This window comes from Homo sapiens, unplaced genomic scaffold (assembly GCF_000001405.40).
Source record: "Homo sapiens unplaced genomic scaffold, GRCh38.p14 Primary Assembly HSCHRUN_RANDOM_CTG2".
In the NCBI taxonomy this organism is placed as follows: Eukaryota; Metazoa; Chordata; class Mammalia; order Primates; family Hominidae; genus Homo; species Homo sapiens.
In genome coordinates this window covers 118026-135758 of record NT_167208.1, presented here as the reverse complement: position 1 = coordinate 135758, position 17733 = coordinate 118026, and the positions used below count along the sequence as shown (strand labels likewise).

The window sequence follows — 17733 nt, the reverse complement described above, 5'->3', positions numbered from 1 at the left end:
CCTGTCCTTTGCAGGGACATGGATGGTGTTGAAGGCCATTATCCTTAACAAACTAACATAGGAAGAGAAAACCAAATACTGCATGGTCTCTCTTATAGGTGGGAGCTAAATGAGGAGAACACACAGACACCTAGAGGGAAGCAACACACACTGGGGCCTATCAGAGGGTGGAGGGTGGGAGGAAGGAAAGAAGCAGGAAATAGAACTAACGGGTACTAGGCTTAACACCTGAGTAATGAAATAATCTGTACAACCAACCCCCTTGGCACACGTTTACCTATGTTAACCAACCTGCACATCCTGCACCTGTATCCCCGAATATAAAAGTTGAAAAAAGCTCCACAAATAGTTTCATAAATCCATTTGAAAAAGAGAAAATTTATAACAGTCTTAAATCCTAATATGAATGATTGGAAATATCTGATGTACATACATTGTATAAATCTAAGTATTGAAAAAAATGAGCCCATGCTATTCATTTGAATTTCAAGTTTTCTTTGGCTTAAAGTTTTTGAAAACCAAAGTAAGAAATAGATTATTTTAGAAAATTGTTTTTGTTTTCACCTCAGCCCTCTTATTCCATAGTTCTTTTAAAAACTAAAATTTATCTAAATGCTAGTCATCTGACTGGAACTGCCCCAGACCTGTTATATTATAACATATTCTACTTAATATAAGGCACCAGGGATTGTATGATGCCCCATTATTTTATGTCTCACTAAGAAAATTATTTAAATGCTGCCAATTATAATTATAGTAAATCATGAATTATAAGTGGTATTTCAGTGTAAGAAATGTTAAAACATGGAGACAATGATCATCTTAGACTCAATAAAATACAGTACAACGCTACCTGTAATCTTTAAAATGTACCTGAAAGTGTAGGTATAATTGTATCGTTTCACTTAATTCAAATGTTGTCTTTAGTGGTATTAGTAAAAATTATAATATCTTACAATTTTTGAGCTGTTATTTGTGTTAGGAACTATTCTATATTTTGTGTAGAGTCTTATTTAAGCATTACAGTGGTTTCCTCTGAGAAACTGACTATTTTCATTCCCATTTTATTGATGAGGAAATTGAGACACAAAAAGGCTAAGCAACAGCTAGGAAGTGACAGAGCTTCAAGTAGGATTCCAGCCCAAGTTGAATGTCATCCAAGAGCTATGCTCTTTCTATTCAAATAGGCTGCTCTTTCATTAATACAGTGAGTAATGAGAGGTAATAAGTAGTGTGCTTTCTTCAAAGGAAAATTGAGTTTGTTTTGAAGGCAGAGTAATAGGCTATTCAGTGTTTGCAACTACATGAATCATTAATGTGGCATTAGCTAGTGAACTACAATTTCCTCAAGTCTTCTCACTCTCATAGGACTGCTCTACATTTGGCCTCTGCCAATGGAAATTCAGAAGTAGTACAACTCCTGCTGGACAGACGATGTCAACTTAATGTCCTTGACAACAAAAAAAGGACAGCTCTGATAAAGGTATGCAGTAGTCAACTATATCAGCGTGAGATGGGTTTGATTTCAATAGATAGCATAAAAATGAGTTTTCTCATTTAAATATAACTAGTTGGTGAAAGCTGTGGAATGTTATTTTGAATTCCTAGGACTTGTAATTTGTTTTTGGTCTAATACTGACAGGCCATACAATGCCAGGAAGATGAATGTGTGTTAATGTTGCTGGAACATGGCGCTGATCGAAATATTCCAGATGAGTATGGAAATACCGCTCTACACTATGCTATCTACAATGAAGATAAATTAATGGCCAAAGCACTGCTCTTATATGGTGCTGATATTGAATCAAAAAACAAGGTATAGATCTACCAATTTTATCTTCAAAATACTGAAATGCATTCGTGTTAACATTGACCTGTGTAAGGGCCAGTTTTCCGTATTTGGAAGCTCAAGCATAACCTGAATGAAAATATTTTGAAATGACTTAATTATCTAAGACTTTATTTTAAATATTGTTACTTTTAAAGAAGCATTAGAGGGTACAGATTTTTCAGTGCACTTGTGGTTAGTGCTTTTTTTAAAAAAACACTGAATTTGTAAAAGGTAATACTTTTTTTTTTTTCAATTTTTCCCTGCCAAGTTTTTTTTCCCTAATGAATGTAAAATGACAAAATTTGCCCTGGAAATAGGTTTTACATTAAAACTCCAAGAAAACTTAAACATGTTTCAGTGAATAGTAATCCTGCTACTTTGGCAAATTCCTAAAAAAACACTAATAGATATGAGGTGATGTATCTCTCAGTGGCAAGGCTTAAGATATTTCTGATTGCTCATGAGGCAGAAGTGGAAAGGGAAAAATGCAGCAATCAGAAATATCAAGGCCAACTTGGAAATTAGGTAATGGGGGAAAAGACCATGAAGAGGTTGTGTGTGTGTGTGTGTGTGTGTGTGTTGTTACTGTTGTTCATTCATTTGTTTCCTTTATATGGTGAGACAGGGTTCTTTTCCATTTTAGAGAATGACAGTTTTCAGTTTGGGAGAGGGAGTTAGTGGGTTGTAAACTGCCTAGAGATAAATTTTAGGAGGCCTCTGAGGAACCAGATTGGCAGTGAATATGTGGTAATGTATTGGGAACCCTTGAGTAGAAGGAATAACAAGTAATTAACCAACTTAGTATCCTATTCTGGTAGAAATGGCCAATTAGAGTCTCAACTCTGCTTTCAATTCTAGAATGTCTTGATGGGAAGGTGGGAGATAAGGGGCTTATAAGTAAAAAGATCAGGTTGGATTTTGAGTTTACTAGACCTTGTTCTACTCTTACCGGGGAAAATTTTGTGGTGTTTTCAGCAAATGAATCTCTCTCCTACTCTTTCCTCTTTTTGACCAAATCCTCAAATGATAAAGGGAATTGTTTATGTGGATGAGAGATGAGACTGAAATAATTGTCTATTGCACTAGCTTCCAGCTAGAGTTGTGCATTCCAGTTACCTCAGGAAAATTTTTAAATAATCTTCAAGTCTAGGTTTTCCCCTGAAGATTTTGATAGAGTAAGTCTAATAAAGCCGGGATATGTATGTTTAAAAATGTTTCCTTGAAGCCAGGCATGGTGGTGCATGGCTGTAGTCCCAGCTGCTAGGGAGGCTGAGGTGGGAGGATTGCTTGAGCTTAGGAGTTCTAGTCTAGCCTGGTCAACATAATGAGACCCTGTCTCTAACAACAACAACAACAAATTTCTCAAAATCCGGATACACTCCTGCTTAACCACTGAATACATAAGTGTAATATGTAAATTCTTATATCTCAGAAACTTCAGATATTTCTAGAAGAGTTGGAGTTGGATATGTGCTAATTCCTTTAAATCTTTCCTTTCCAATAACATTAATCTAAATTTTTGTTTGTTTGTTTTTGAGATGGGGTCTCACTCTGTTCCCCAGGCTGGAGTGCAGTGGTGCGGTCACAGATCACCACAGCCTTGACGTCCCTAAGCTCTGGTGGTCCTCCAATCTGTTTTTGTATTTTTTTTTTAAGTAGAGATGAGGTTTTTGCCGTGTTTCTCAGGCTGATCTTGAACTCCTGGGCTCAAGTGAATCACCCACCTCAGGCTCCCAAAATGCTAAGATTACAGGTGTGAGCCACCATTCCTGGCCTAGTCTGACTTATCTCTGTCGTTGAGACATTAAAATGAATATTATTGGCACTATCTATCAGCTTACAGAATAATACCTTTTCCTTTCTACCATCAGTTATTCACTGCCATTCAGAAGGTCTTTAGAAATTTGCAGTGAGTAGTCTTCCAATAAGTAGAGGATGGCTCTCTCAGGACTTTGTGTCCCTTTGTTCACTCATTCAAGTGCTTAGGTCAGTAAGTCGTTTTTAAGAGCAGAGTTTTCTCAGAATTGTAGCAAATTCTAAACCTTTTTTGTCAATTGAAGCTGTATTATGGGCTATCCAGTATGTCTCTTAAGTTTGTAGAGCTTTGGCTTAATCAGGATGGCAGGTTTAAACACTAAAAACCATGGAGTTATTAAGAATACAGATAGGAAATCTCTTAGTTTCAGTAATCCTATGAACTGATTATCTATCTAGTTAACAATCTGGAAAAATTAAATACAAATAGATTTTAAATGAATAAATGTTGGAAAAATTCTTGAAATGGGCAGTGTATTAATAGCAATATTTATTGCACGTTGGAGCTTGAACTTTGGTAAAACATGTGAAACTAAAGAAATATTTTACATTCAAATTCTTGCTTTATACACAACAATTTTGTCTTAGGGTTGGATAATATAGAGATAAAAGATACAGCCCCTGCCCTCAAGAAGCTTTTTGTTTAAATGAAAAAAAAAATCATCCAAAAGTGCCATGCCAAATGCTCGTTTAGAAACAAAGAGTCTTGGAAACAGTAAATGTTTAAGGTGAGTTTTTGAGATGATCAGATTTAATGTGGTGAGGCAGAGAAGGGATGTTTCCAAGGGAAGGAGTGGCATGTGGGAAAGTACAGAAGAGTGAGAAGGAAGCGACCAAGTTTTATTTACTTTCTGTGAGTGTAAGTCCATAAGCTTCCAGTTCAGTTGAGAAATACATAATTTTTTGAATTACATATTGTTTTTGTTTTATATTGTTTTACAGTGTGGCCTCACACCACTTTTGCTTGGCGTACATGAACAAAAACAGCAAGTGGTGAAATTTTTAATCAAGAAAAAAGCTAATTTAAATGTACTTGATAGATATGGAAGGTATGGTTATTTCTTTTAATTTGTGTGTTGTTCTAGATTGATAGCAGTCACTCAAGTCATAAATAATAAATTAAAAAGATTAAATTATACTTATTGGGACATAGTGATCAGTATCAACACAAATCAGTTAAGTAGAAAAGCAATTATTTGGACTGGGCAACATAAAGAACTGTTTTAGTAGGATTCATCTTCTCTTATTATATTGACTGATGTTATTTGTTGTATGATGTTTTTGGTTACATGATCTTATGTTAGCTAAAGGGATTTCATATTAATTTTATGAAGTTTGAACTTTAACTTTCAGTTTACTTTATGACTCAGTATTGAACTTCTTAACCCTTTCTAGTAGGTTTTAACCTCTGTATCTTATATGCTTTTCCACTAAATATGCTGTATTAAACATAAATAGGAGTTGAAAATCCTTTTATCTTTTCAATGACTCTGCTTTAAGTTGCTTTCTTTGAAGAATATTAATGTTAGCTTATCCCCACATGACAATTAATTGCTATTCCCACATACCGTGGGTTCAACAGCTTTTTTCCTTTTTTATTTCCAGTGTATTTTGATGTTTTTATTTTTAGTTGGTATGGAGAGAGGGAGTGAAGATAGTTTTAAGTGGATACACTTTTCCTTTAATGAAGGCAAGCTGTAGGTGGGTGATAAAGAGAAAAGATGAAATTGGAAATCATCATTCTCAGTAAACTATCGCAAGAACAAAAAACCAAACACCGCATATTCTCACTCATAGGTGGGAATTGAACAATGCAATCACATGGACACAAGAAGGGGAATATCACACTCTGGGGACTGTGGTGGGGTGGGGGGAGGGGGGAGGGATAGCTTTGGGAGATATACCTAATGCTAGATGACGAGTTAGTGGGTGCAGCGCACCAGCATGGCACATGTATACATATGTAACTAACCTGCACAATGTGCACATGTACCCTGAAACTTAAAGTATAATAAAAAATAAAAATAAAAAAACAAAAACAAAACAAAAACTAGCTGGGCATGGAAAAAAAAAAGAGAAAAGAGCTAGGCTTTGGATTCACACAAGACTGGGTTTAATTCCTAACTTTCTTACTTGCTACGCGTGTGACATTGGGAACGTTATTTACCACCCAATATGTTGTCATATGTGAAAAGTAGGAGAATATATCCTTCAAAGTTGGCTGTGCATAAGCAAGAAAGATATATGTGGCATTTAATTCAGTGCGTAGCACATGCTTATTGGCAGCATTAACTGAAACTCCTGTGACTACTATTCTTACCATTATTATTAATATTACTGCTTTCAGCATGCAGAGAGCTCTTATTTTTCTTACCCCCTAGCTAATTTTCTATTACAGCATATCAGTTTAGGGAAGCTGTGACAAAATCTTCACTTAAATCTTTGTCCACTTCAGATAAGTGGCCCTAGCATTGTTTCTTGCCCATCAAAGGACTTTAAATTAGTAGCTTCTGCTATGCAATACCCCACTGAGATAAGAGGTTTCCTTTTTGTCCTTTCCTTTTAACCTTGGTGGTATTTTACAAAGATGAACTCTTGAGCACCCAAGATGCTTCTGTCTTTTAGTGCATGTAAATGTTTGATTCTGCATGGACAGGCAAGATGTTAAATTGGTAAAGTATATCAAATTAGCTTTTAAAATAACTTTATTACAGTTCCTAAAGGAGAAATTATCTCTGTAATTCTAGAACTGCCCTCATACTTGCTGTATGTTGTGGATCAGCAAGTATAGTCAATCTTCTACTTGAGCAAAATGTTGATGTATCTTCTCAAGATCTATCTGGACAGACGGCCAGAGAGTATGCTGTTTCTAGTCATCATCATGTGTAAGTGTTTACATGAAAAGGCTAGTTAATGCTAAATTGAGGTTTAAAATAATTATAACAATTGCATCTTACATATCAGGTGAGATGTCATAGTTTGGTTCAGGTAGTTTTAGATTGGCCGTGAGTTAGTCCCCTGCATCAGCCAGAAATCAGACAAAAAGCAAGACAAGTTAGAAGTACCAATGGGTGCAGGATTCTTTACCTCAGGACTTTTAAGACCTTTATCCTTAGAGATCCCAATATTGTTCATTTCATCCAAGTATAACACCTATGCATGGGATAAAAAAGAGTATCACATCTTTGATTTTTCTGATTAGTTATTTGGGTCTTGAAATGTCCAGTTTAGCAGAAAGTCTTGTACTGTCTTCTGGGGACTATCTTCTACATACTCCTTGAATTTTTCAAGAACCAAAGGGGTTCACTAAATCCAAGGAAGACAGTCCCTTTTATCAAGTCAGAAGGAGGAGAAAAAAAAGGACATTCCAATCATTCTGTTGTTTCCATTGTTTCTGTTGCTGCATTGTTGCCACTCAAACTGGTTCTGCTGCCTGGTAATTGTTGACCTTTGACACCAAGATGCCCTTACTGATTCAGATCCCTCAAGTCTTCATGGGGATTCATACAGTGACTTTGAAGTTACAACATTTTTTTTTAGTTCCCTTACCTATGCTTATATGCTCAGCCATTGTTCCCAAAGCACCAGCACCCTGCTCTGGCCGCTGGGCATCCTGACTTTATCCGCACACAAAGTGAGCAAATTGACCCTTCCTCCTGTATTCAGAACCTAATGTGGAACCCACATCTTAGCCAAGAATTAGCTGAGACCTTCATGGTAAGAGATCCTTTGAGGCCGTTGTTGGTCTTTTCTCTAGCAGATATTAGGTGGGCTTGTTCTAAAGGGTCAGAGGGGTTCAAATAATGTGGCAGAAAGAGATCAGTGTTTGTTTCTTCTTCTTTGCTACCAGATCTATACTGTGAGGCACCTTTATATCCTGTGTAGAACCTTAGGCAGTAGAAAGTCCCATATGAGCCTTCCCCAAGCAGTGGCTCCCAGCTGTGGTTGGCCCCTTGAGTGATCTGATTTACATGATAATGAAAATCGTCCAAGCTACTTCCATCTCTAGCTCAAGATTTTAAAATATTATCAAATTGTACCTCACAGGAAGCCATTGAAGAGAATTCTCAGAATCTCAAGTAGGTTAAGTAAGTAGTGATGAGTCACGGACAAGAGCCAAGCCTTGTCCATGACTCGTCACAAATCATGTGTAAAAGTAGGGCTTTGTGCCTGCTTTGGCGGCACATATCCTAAAATTGGAACAATACAGAGAAAGTTAGCATGGCTTCTGCATAAGGAGGCAGCACAACTCTTTGAGGCATTCCATATTTTGTGCAGTCACTGGAAGATCATTTCACTATTTGCTGACTAGCTCTAAGGAAACAGTGTGAATCAAAGCAAAATGGGTGCCACCAAAATATCGAAATGTGATTTGTGCTGCAAAAATAGTCATGGAAGATGGTCTGTGAGATGATTTAGAGCTGAATAATGTGTTCGGTGCAAAATATATTAAGTATGTATGTCAAAAATTAGAGAATGTCAATTTGCAGCTTCTTCATGAAAACTGAAAAAAAATAAAAGTAGAGTTTTGGTCTCCCATGTCAGCTGGAATTGAACATCAATATAAAGCATTATCCTAACAAACATCTGCTGGCTCAGAGTTTGAGTCTGTAGAGAAGGATCATTGCTCCAAGCCAGGTCTTAACATCCATTGGTTTTTCTGCCCTTAGCACAACAAATTGGTCAACTCCGTAATAGTGGACAATCACATTATCTACTTTAATGAGAGATTTATGAAAAAATTTAGTTACAAACTATGACACAGTTGAGATGCCCTGAATTATAAGCCATAAGGAGTAGGACAACTAAGAAGCAAAATTAGGACTTAATAACATTTTCTGAAAACTACAGCATTTGCATATTAGAACCTGTGAACAAAATACACATGGGGTTTTATTTGGGATTCCAAGATAATTTTAGTCATAAAGTTTAGGAACAGATTATTCCATTGCTTTACTATTTCTCTGAGCATTTAAAAAATGTTACCTTGTTAAATATTTGTAACAACCTAGTGAAATAAGGCAGCAAAGTCCTCACTTTGTAGAAGAAGACATTGAGCCTAAGAGAAGAAATTTGTCCAAGAACTAATAGCTGTTCATTATGGAGCTAGGACTTATGCAGAGTTGGGACACTTTCTATTATGTCATGCTAATGCATGCTGATTTACTGGGTCACAGTGCCCTTGATTTATGAGCATTTCACCTAATTTTTTTTCTTCTTTAATTAGAAGCTTAAAGAAAAGTTTGTAGAATGTACTCATAAGTGTATGGGATAATACTGTTAAATTCTGATATTATGAAATTGTTTGAAATACTCTAAGAATTTTACATTTGGTAAGTATTTTTTATATCAGTATTAAAATAGTAATTTGGTTTATTACATTTTTATACATAGAATTTGTGAATTACTTTCTGACTATAAAGAAAAACAGATGCTAAAAATCTCTTCTGAAAACAGCAATCCAGGTAAGACTTGTGATAATGAATTACTTTAGGTCAGTTGTCCACAATGTTTTGGGCAGCAGGGACCAGTTTTCTGGAAGACAGTCTTTCCATGGGCTGGGGGAAGGTGGGGATGGTTTCAGGATTATTCAGCCATGTTTCATTTATTGTGCTACTTTATATTATTATTACATTGTAATATATAATGAAATAATTATACAACTTACCATAATGTAGAATCCGTGGAAACTCTGAGCTTATTTTTCTGCAACTAGATGGTCTCATCTGGGGGCAAAGTGAGACAGTGACATATCATCAGGCATTAGATTCTCATATGAAGCACACAACCTAGATCCCTCAGATGAGCAGTTCACAACAGGGTTCATGCTCCAATGAGTATCTAGTGCTATCACTGATCTGACTGGAGGCAGAGTTCAGGCGGTAATATGAGCCATGGGGTGTGGCTGTAAGTACAGGTGAAGCTTCCCTGGTTTGCCTGCTGCTCACCTCCTCCTGTGTGGTGTGGTTCATAATAGTCCATGGAGTGGTACCAGTCTGTGACCTGGGAGTTGTGGGCCCCTGCTCTAGGTGGTCCTACCGTAGATAAATAAATAAAAGTAAGGAATTTTTGATCACAAAAGAACGCCAAAGCACAAGTCATGTTACATATCCTTGTCCCAACAAGGTCTCACTCTTACTGACTTCATTCCTCCTCATTTGAAGTTGGAAAGAGATACATTTACTTTGTTGGAACAAGATGTGTTCTTCTACCTGCTGGTCAATTGTCTTGATAACAGTAATTTTGTTAGAACAAGATGCTCTGCTACCATTTACCAAAAGATTGTCATAATAAATATACAAATTGCCCAATTCTAGGCTCAGCAGATTATAATAAAAGTAGAAAAATGTTTCACATTAACAAAAATACTAGTATGCCACCTGGTTGTGGACACCTAATACATTGTATAACCCAAACTGTATTAGGACACCTTTAATTTAGCCATCTATTTATCAAAAAGCTTCTGTAAGTTAGGTTTTATAAGTTGCAGGAGACAAAGATGGAATAGATGTAGTTTTGATCTTTAAGGTGCTCATAGTAGAGCTGTCTCTTTCATTTCTGTGCTTTTTCAACAGAATTTACAAAGAAAACCTTTCTATGTTTTCACTTGTCCACTTAACAAATAACTATTAAATGTCTTTTAGATACTAATCATTTTTCTAATGTTACAGAACACACACAATTAAAAATACAGACAGGAGCTTGTTATTATCATTGTCATTTTTATTATTTTACTACTTTATTCAGTGCTTACTGTGTGCTAGATGCCCACTGGAAGCTTATAATTATGATTTATTATATATTAATTATGTGCCAGACATATGTGATGAGGAATGAAAGTTTTGAAAAAAAGTAGGTATGATTCAAGGTAAGCACGCAGAGTGAGAAGAATTTTTCTAGGTAAAGAAGCAGAAGAATAATGTTTGGCAGAAGGAACACGCAACAAGATTGTGTGTTTGCCAGAAGAACATCTAATGAGATTGCCTGTTTGGCAGGAAGAGCAGCAAGTGCAAAACACAAGATGCTGAGTGAACTTTGCAGGGTTTCTGAGCAGTTCACTTTTGCTAGTACCAAAAGTGTGAGACACCAGAGGTTGGGAATAAGGTGAATACTTAGCTAAGGCAAGTTTATGATAGACTTTTTTAATACTATAGAAATGAGTAGGTCTTACCCTGTGGGCCATGGGAAATTTACCAGGTACAATGCTTTGGACTGTAAATACTAGATGAGCAGTGGCTAAAACAGTAGGAACCAGAGTTGTTTTGGTTGTTCAGTGATATCCTAGGATCCCACTTGTCCCTCTTTCAGCTGTGCTGTTGGCAGTGTTTTATTCATGTCTCCTTTCATGGTTGGCTAATCCGCAGCAGCTCCAAACATCTTGTTCTCACAACACAACATTTCAAGGGCTGCTTTTCTTCACATGTGTCTTTTAAACAGGGAGAAAACTTAGAAGCATGCAAGGGGCTTCCTGTAACATTTCACTGGCTGGGTCACACCACATGCTCATTCCCAAACCAGGCACTGGGAAGGCAAATACATGATTAGCTTAGAATAAACATCTCTCTTTCTGAGGCTGAGGAGGGGGATTGGGATAATAAATATCCCAATAGACTTGTGTTTCTTCTGCAAGAAAGAATAAGGAATGGCTATTGATAGGGAGCCAACAATGTGTGCTGCAGGGGCTCATTGGAGAAATTTGAGCAGGGGAGTTACAAGATTAAATTTGAGTATTAAGGCATATTCTGCTTATGGTGTAAAATGGGTTAGCAAGCTTTTTCTGTAAAGGACCAGGTGGGAAATATTTTAGATTATGTGGTCTCTGTCATATCTACTTAACCAGGCTGTTGTCTGTTGTTGTAGTGTGAAAGCCACCATGATTATATGTAAGCAAACAGGCATGACTGAGCTCCTATAAAACTTTATTTACAAAGCCAAAAGGCAGATTGGATTTGGCCTGTGGCCTATAGTTTGCTGGGATTGATGGAAGATAACCATGTAAAGAAACCAGGAGAAAAAGGAAGCTTTTGCAGTAGTCAGCTATAGTTTCCATGTCACACATCCTTGGACTAGTATCAATGTATTCTAAGGTTTTCACCTGCCCATGGCAAAATAAAGTTTGGAATCTCAGTTACTCATTTTAATGTGTTGGCCTTTTTTTGGTGTTATGCTTTTTTCATTTGTTTTGCTTAATTTTTTTCATGTAAGAAATAACATTAATAGTTGGAAGGGTTGTTTGTAATAAAAGCCGTTTTGTAAATGTTTATGTTCTCAGTGGCAGTGGTAATATAAAGCAGAGGAAGAAGAGAGGTATAGTCAATATGATTTAGTGATAATTGAATGAGAAAGGTTTGGGGGACAGAGAGAAATGTCAGATAATTTACAGGTTTCCACGTTGTACACTAGTATTTAACCTGGACATGAGGAAGGAGTAGGAAATTTTCTCCATGACCTGTGTGAGTCACAGCTTCCAGAAAAGAAAGAGAGCAAGGAGCATATTAAGGAACCACAGCAAAGTCAGTCCTAGAGTGCCCTGCTTGACTTCATGTCATAGTTCTGACTTCTAAAAAATCATTTTCTGCAAAATGTGCTTTGTGTTTTTCCCCTCTTGCAGCCTGCAGCCAAACAGAATCCCTTTAGCAGGGCATTTTTGTGTTCTTCCTTTAAACAAAGTAACATAAAAATAACAAAAAAGAGTAAGAGAAAGAGTGTTTTTTGTATAGGCTAGCATTTAACTTAAACTTGAGAGCGAGTACTAGGATTATACTTAGAATTTATGGACTCGGTAGGAAGACTAGATAGAAATCTAAATATTGCTGACTCAAACACAGTGTGTTTTTTTGCTTTATTGTCACAGCTCTGAATTCACAACTATTAGTTATATTCATATACACTATAACTTTATAAAGCACCTTCCCAAACAAATATTAAGTGATTTATTATAATTTCTATGACTTATTATAGAATTGACTTTCCAAGTGTTCATGAGAATTATTGAGAATTTGCTACATAGTATCATCTCAGCTGTGTCCACATGAGCTAGCTGTCACCTTGTCTTAATGAATAATGGCTCACTAGGAATATTGGTTTTGACATTAAAATGATCTACATCTAAATACAGATAGGACCAGGGACCACTCTTGAACGTTAATCTCTAAGCGTCTTAAAAGTACACATAAGGCTTTCATAATCTGACTTCTGCCCTACTCTACATCTTTAGCCCTTTTCCCTGTGTGCCCTTTCTCTGGCATTACTGAGTGGCTCTTAATGCCCTACTCACTCCTCCTTCTATTGCAGGCAAATACTTTCACTCTTTCAGGCCTCGCTCCTGCTCTTGCTGCTGTGTGGCATGCTGTCACCCTTTCTTGCCCTCTACCACTTTTAATCTAGCTAGCCTCAATATTTAAGTCTCTGCTTGGGCAGGTGTTCTAGAAAAGCCATCCCTGACAGGCTTTATTTTCATTCTTTTTAAACCCTAACACCTAGCATGTGTGTAGCAGGACTCAATAAGAAATTTCTGAGTAAAATAAAGACTGTTTTTACAAAGATGATGTGCAAGACTGTCCTCTGCAGTCTTGGAGTAGAGGGGACAGACCTGTGGAGGAATAATGTACAGTTCAGGTGGTAAAGGTGCAGTAGAAAAATCAGTGAGGTCCTAAGGCTACCTCAAGAAAGGAGTTACCTGTTTATCTGGGGAAAGATCTGCAGAATCAAGGAAGACTTCCCATAGCATTGTTTTAAAAGATGAAAATAAGGCTGGGTGTGGTGGCTCACACCTGTAATTGCAGCATTTTGGGAGGCTGGAGCAGGTGGATCACAAGGTCAAAAGATCAGGACCATCCTGGCCAATGGTGAAACCCCATCTCTACTAAAAATACAAAAATTAGCTGGGCATGATGGTGTGTGCCTGTAATCCCAGCTTCTCAGGAGAATGAGACAGAAGAATCATTTGAACCAGGGAGTCAGAGGTTGCAGTGAGCTGAGATTGTGCCACCGCACTCCAGCCTGGTGACAGAGCAAGACCCTGGCTCAAACAAAAAAACAAAAAAAAAAAAAGAAAAATGAATATAAATTTGTCATAATAGTGGATGGAAACATTTTAGATGTTAAGAAGACATTATACACTAACAAAGGTGTCAGTAGTAATTTTGGAAATCATTTGTAAGGTACTATTGTTGCAGAAAACAGGAGGCAGGAGAGACCCAGTGGGTCAAACAAGAGGATTTTATTTAGGTGCACACCAGCTCAGCGGATTTGCATCAAAAACCTGAGCCCTGAACAAAGACAGGGCTTGGCTTATATAGGCAAACTTACAGAAGCAGAACAAAGGCAGTTAATCATATAGTGACAGTTTTGCAACCACTGCATAGCTTGTGACCTTGCAGCTGCATTGAAGGAAAACAAGAATTTGCAAAATATATGCATTTGTAAAAATAGCTATGAATAAATGCTGAGGGGGAGGGGAGATGGTAAAGGAATTTGTTTTCTTAACTTTTCTCTGGGATGTCTGGAGCCCATACCTGTGGGCTCTGGCTTCTCAGACAGGGTCACCACGACCTTTCCTGGGCCCTGCCTGATACTATCCTTAGAGTCAGAGTAGCTAAGTGCAGGAAAACTTGTTTCTCTTTAAAACTAAATTTTCTTTTCTTTACATTTCCTGCTTCACCATTAGGAAGTGAACAACATACTGAGTTACCTTATATGTTTCTACTGTATTTTAAAGTTGTGTTTCTGGTGGTTTTGTTCATTTATGTGGGGTGGATGAATTTGTGAGTGAAACACATCAGGTGTCTCCCCAAGTGGTTTGTTGAAGTTTTGGAGAATTATTTCCTAAGTAACTATTTCATGAAAGACTAAACACTCAATTAATGAAATAAAATAAAATGTTGTCTTCAATCTATTTTTATAAAGGCAATAGTTTTTAACTGTTCTAAGTGGTTCATCTTAACTGAATATATGGATTTCTCAACAGAACAAGACTTAAAGCTGACATCAGAGGAAGAGTCACAAAGGCTTAAAGTCAGTGAAAATAGCCAGCCAGAGGCATGGAAAATTTTAAATTTAAATTTTTGATTTAATGTTGTTTTCTTTGCTTTAACAATATTAGATAGTCCAAATGAAATTACCTTTCAGACTAGGTTTTAAGAATCAATAGATTCTTTTTTTAAGAATTTTTTAATAAGATTCTTAAAATTTATTTTAATAAATTCAGCAATCTCATTAACAGAAGAATCAATAAATTCTAATTTAACATTTGATATTTAGCTTAAAAACATAACCACTATAAAATTTAAAATACCCTTATTTTACAGTATTCTTATTTAAAATATTCTTATCTGCCTTTTTGATTAGCTTATAGCTAATCTTTCCTTTTGGAATAGAGGCAAAAACATATTCCAGACCTTTGTTTGTTCTTTTATTTTAACAACACCCTAACATGATAAAGTAACATCAATTATTGGATTATATTATTAAGCAAAAGAACTATGAACAATGTAACACTGAAGGTCCCTGAGCTGGATTCATGGTTAAAGAATAATCACGGCCAGTGATTGAAAATCTGCAGTTTTATATTGTCAGTCACTGATACCAAGGTTAAAGACATATTCTGCCTTGTGATCTCTCACTGACTTCAGCATTTCTGTTCAGGGAGGGAACCAGGTCATAAAAGCAACCCAACTGCCTATTACAAGAATCATATCTTGCAGAATGGGACATTTGGTGTTAGTGCACAAACACAATAACCTTTTCCTTATTTTAGTTGCAGAAAATCAGTACAGATTATTAAAAAAATTTTATCCACTATAATTAGTACACCTTAGAATATATTAGAACTGGACTTAAGCAGATCATCTAGATACATAACACTATCATATTACAGCATATAATTTCAATTAAAATGTAAGAATTTGCATTTCTTTCTGTTTGGTGTTGATTTCAGCTCCTAATAATTTAAAGCGTGCCTACAATCCAATTAGGAATCTTTTAAAAAAGCACTTCAGTGCACTATAGGGGCTCACTAGTTAGGGTTTCATGAGATATACTTTTTCAAGTGAGGAAGCCTTTGGAACACTACAAATCATCTGCTAATTCATTTTTGGTAGATTTAACACATAACAAATTAAGTTTAGTCCAAACAAATGGTAACAAAGTTAAGTTTGCTGGTTCATGTTTTTATTCTCCCTTTGTCTGAGGTGAATTATTTTTCACATGTTAGTCAGAAGCCAATGATGTGGCAGTTGCTAAACATAGATTAAAAAATTAATTCTTAATTTTAATTATTTATTTAATTATTTTAACAGTTAAATTTTATTTTATTTTCTAATTTTTCATGTCCATACTTGATTACTTAAGAATAAAATTATTTTAACATGCATTCCAAAAGAGGAGACATACACGGAAATACAACAAGCAAATTAACCTTCTATTTTTGCATCTGCAGAAAATGTCTCAAGAACCAGAAATAAATAAGGACTGTGATAGAGAGGTATACCTTTATGTTCAAATGTTTCTGTTGAATTAGATTTTTATGTTATGCTGTTTAACAAAGTGTAGTAAGTGTAGGCATACATGATCCTATCATGTAAGTAGCATAAATCACCAGTGAAAAATTTAATATTTAACTCAGAAAGAATTCTGTACATTGAGTTTTCAAGAGATACAAACCCTAGAGAGATTCTTTCATTATTATGGAACAATCCTGAATGGTGCCATAAAATGCTAGGTAATGCCACTTTAGGAGCTTTGGACCAATCATTTTATCTTTCTTGGTTTTAGTCTGATTATCACTAGATAATGTGGCTAAAGAAGATAATTACTTATTCTTTGTAACTTCCAGCTGGAAAATTGTATAGCTATTGAATGTGAAATTTTGGGAGCATCTAATTTTCTGGAATTCCACGCTTGCACTTCAGCAGTTTCACTCTGCTCCTTGTGTTGTGGCAAACTTTGGTTTTCATGTTTCAGTGAGCACCATCATGTTTTTGATATCCAGGAACCAAACGAAAAAAGAACGATCAAAGGCAGTGGGGGAGGAGAATATCTTAGTGCAGAAAAGGGCCATCTTCCTTTCTATTCCTGAAGTCCCCCAGTGTCTCATCCTCTACATCTGAGTGTTTAATGTAAAATCTAGGTGGTAAAGACAGAAGACACATTTTGTGTCTATGTCGTTTTATTTTTGTGTTCCCACGAGTCAAATGGGGTAAATTCATATATAAGATTCTGAAGAGTTTTTGGGAATAAAGGCACAAAATGAAGGAGGGCCCTTTTTGAATTTTGGAAAATTCAGTTTTATTCAGTCAAACAGCAATCAAGCAAACTTTACAAAAATTTCAATGATATACTAATGACATGATAATTACATCTTAAAATTATACGGTAATAGTTCTGTATATATGATCAAATTTAAGTGTGAGATTTTTAATGACTAAAATAATGGCAAACTGAATCAATTGATAAAATCAATTAAAAAGGTTATTTTTATTCAATAAAGTGATAACCATCCTTAATATCAAACTTCCACTCAAGGTTGAAGAAGAAATAAAGAAGCATGGAAGTAATCCTGTGGGATTACCAGAAAACCTGACTAATGGTGCCAGTGCTGGCAATGGTGATGATGGATTAATTCCACAAAGGAGGAGCAGAAAACCTGAAAATCAGCAATTTCCTGACACTGAGAATGAAGAGTATCACAGGTAAGCCTATGGCAACATTTAATAGGAGATAACTATATGCTGTCAAACTAATCTTAATTTGGGCTAATATTCATGATGAACAAATTTTATACTTTTACTAGAAAATTCAGCCTTGCCTGTTAATCAGAAAACTGAAAATCAGTAAACAATGAGTTACCGTTTTTTCCAGTCATTAATTTATTTGAAAAATAACCAGCATTGGCAAATGTGAGGGAAAAGGCATTTTCTTTTCTTTTTAATGAACTTTTATTTTAGCTTCAGAAGTTCATGTGCAGGTTTATTATATAGGTAAACTGTATCATGGAGGTTTGGACTACAGATTATTTCATCAGCCACATAATAAGCAAAATACTCGAGAGGTAGTTTTTTGGTTGTCTCCCTCCTGCCACACTCCAC

General features: G+C 36.0%; 1 protein-coding gene and 1 non-coding gene across 5 annotated transcripts in view; both read left to right on the top strand.

Moving 5' to 3' along the window:
- The window catches only part of LOC100288966 (POTE ankyrin domain family member D-like), a 35531-nt gene that overhangs the window by 3581 nt on the left and 14217 nt on the right, over window positions 1-17733 (top strand). Inside the window, exons 2-9 of one of the 4 annotated variants that reach the window (NM_001257362.3) lie at window positions 1369-1483; window positions 1643-1816; window positions 4589-4695; window positions 6394-6531; window positions 9041-9111; window positions 14616-14686; window positions 16086-16130; window positions 17171-17337. In NM_001257362.3, coding sequence (NP_001244291.1) covers window positions 1369-1483; window positions 1643-1816; window positions 4589-4695; window positions 6394-6531; window positions 9041-9111; window positions 14616-14686; window positions 16086-16130; window positions 17171-17337 — 888 coding nt within the window. Of the gene's footprint in view, window positions 1-1368; window positions 1484-1642; window positions 1817-4588; window positions 4696-6393; window positions 6532-9040; window positions 9112-11506; window positions 12849-14615; window positions 14687-16085; window positions 16131-17170; window positions 17338-17733 lie in introns of those variants that run through there. The other 3 variants (XM_006709930.4, XM_011545656.3, XM_011545655.3) reach the window with 3 other exon arrangements.
- Window positions 7813-7919, top strand: LOC124905313 (U6 spliceosomal RNA). Its single transcript, XR_007068506.1, has one exon. It is a non-coding gene; the product is annotated as a U6 spliceosomal RNA (small nuclear RNA).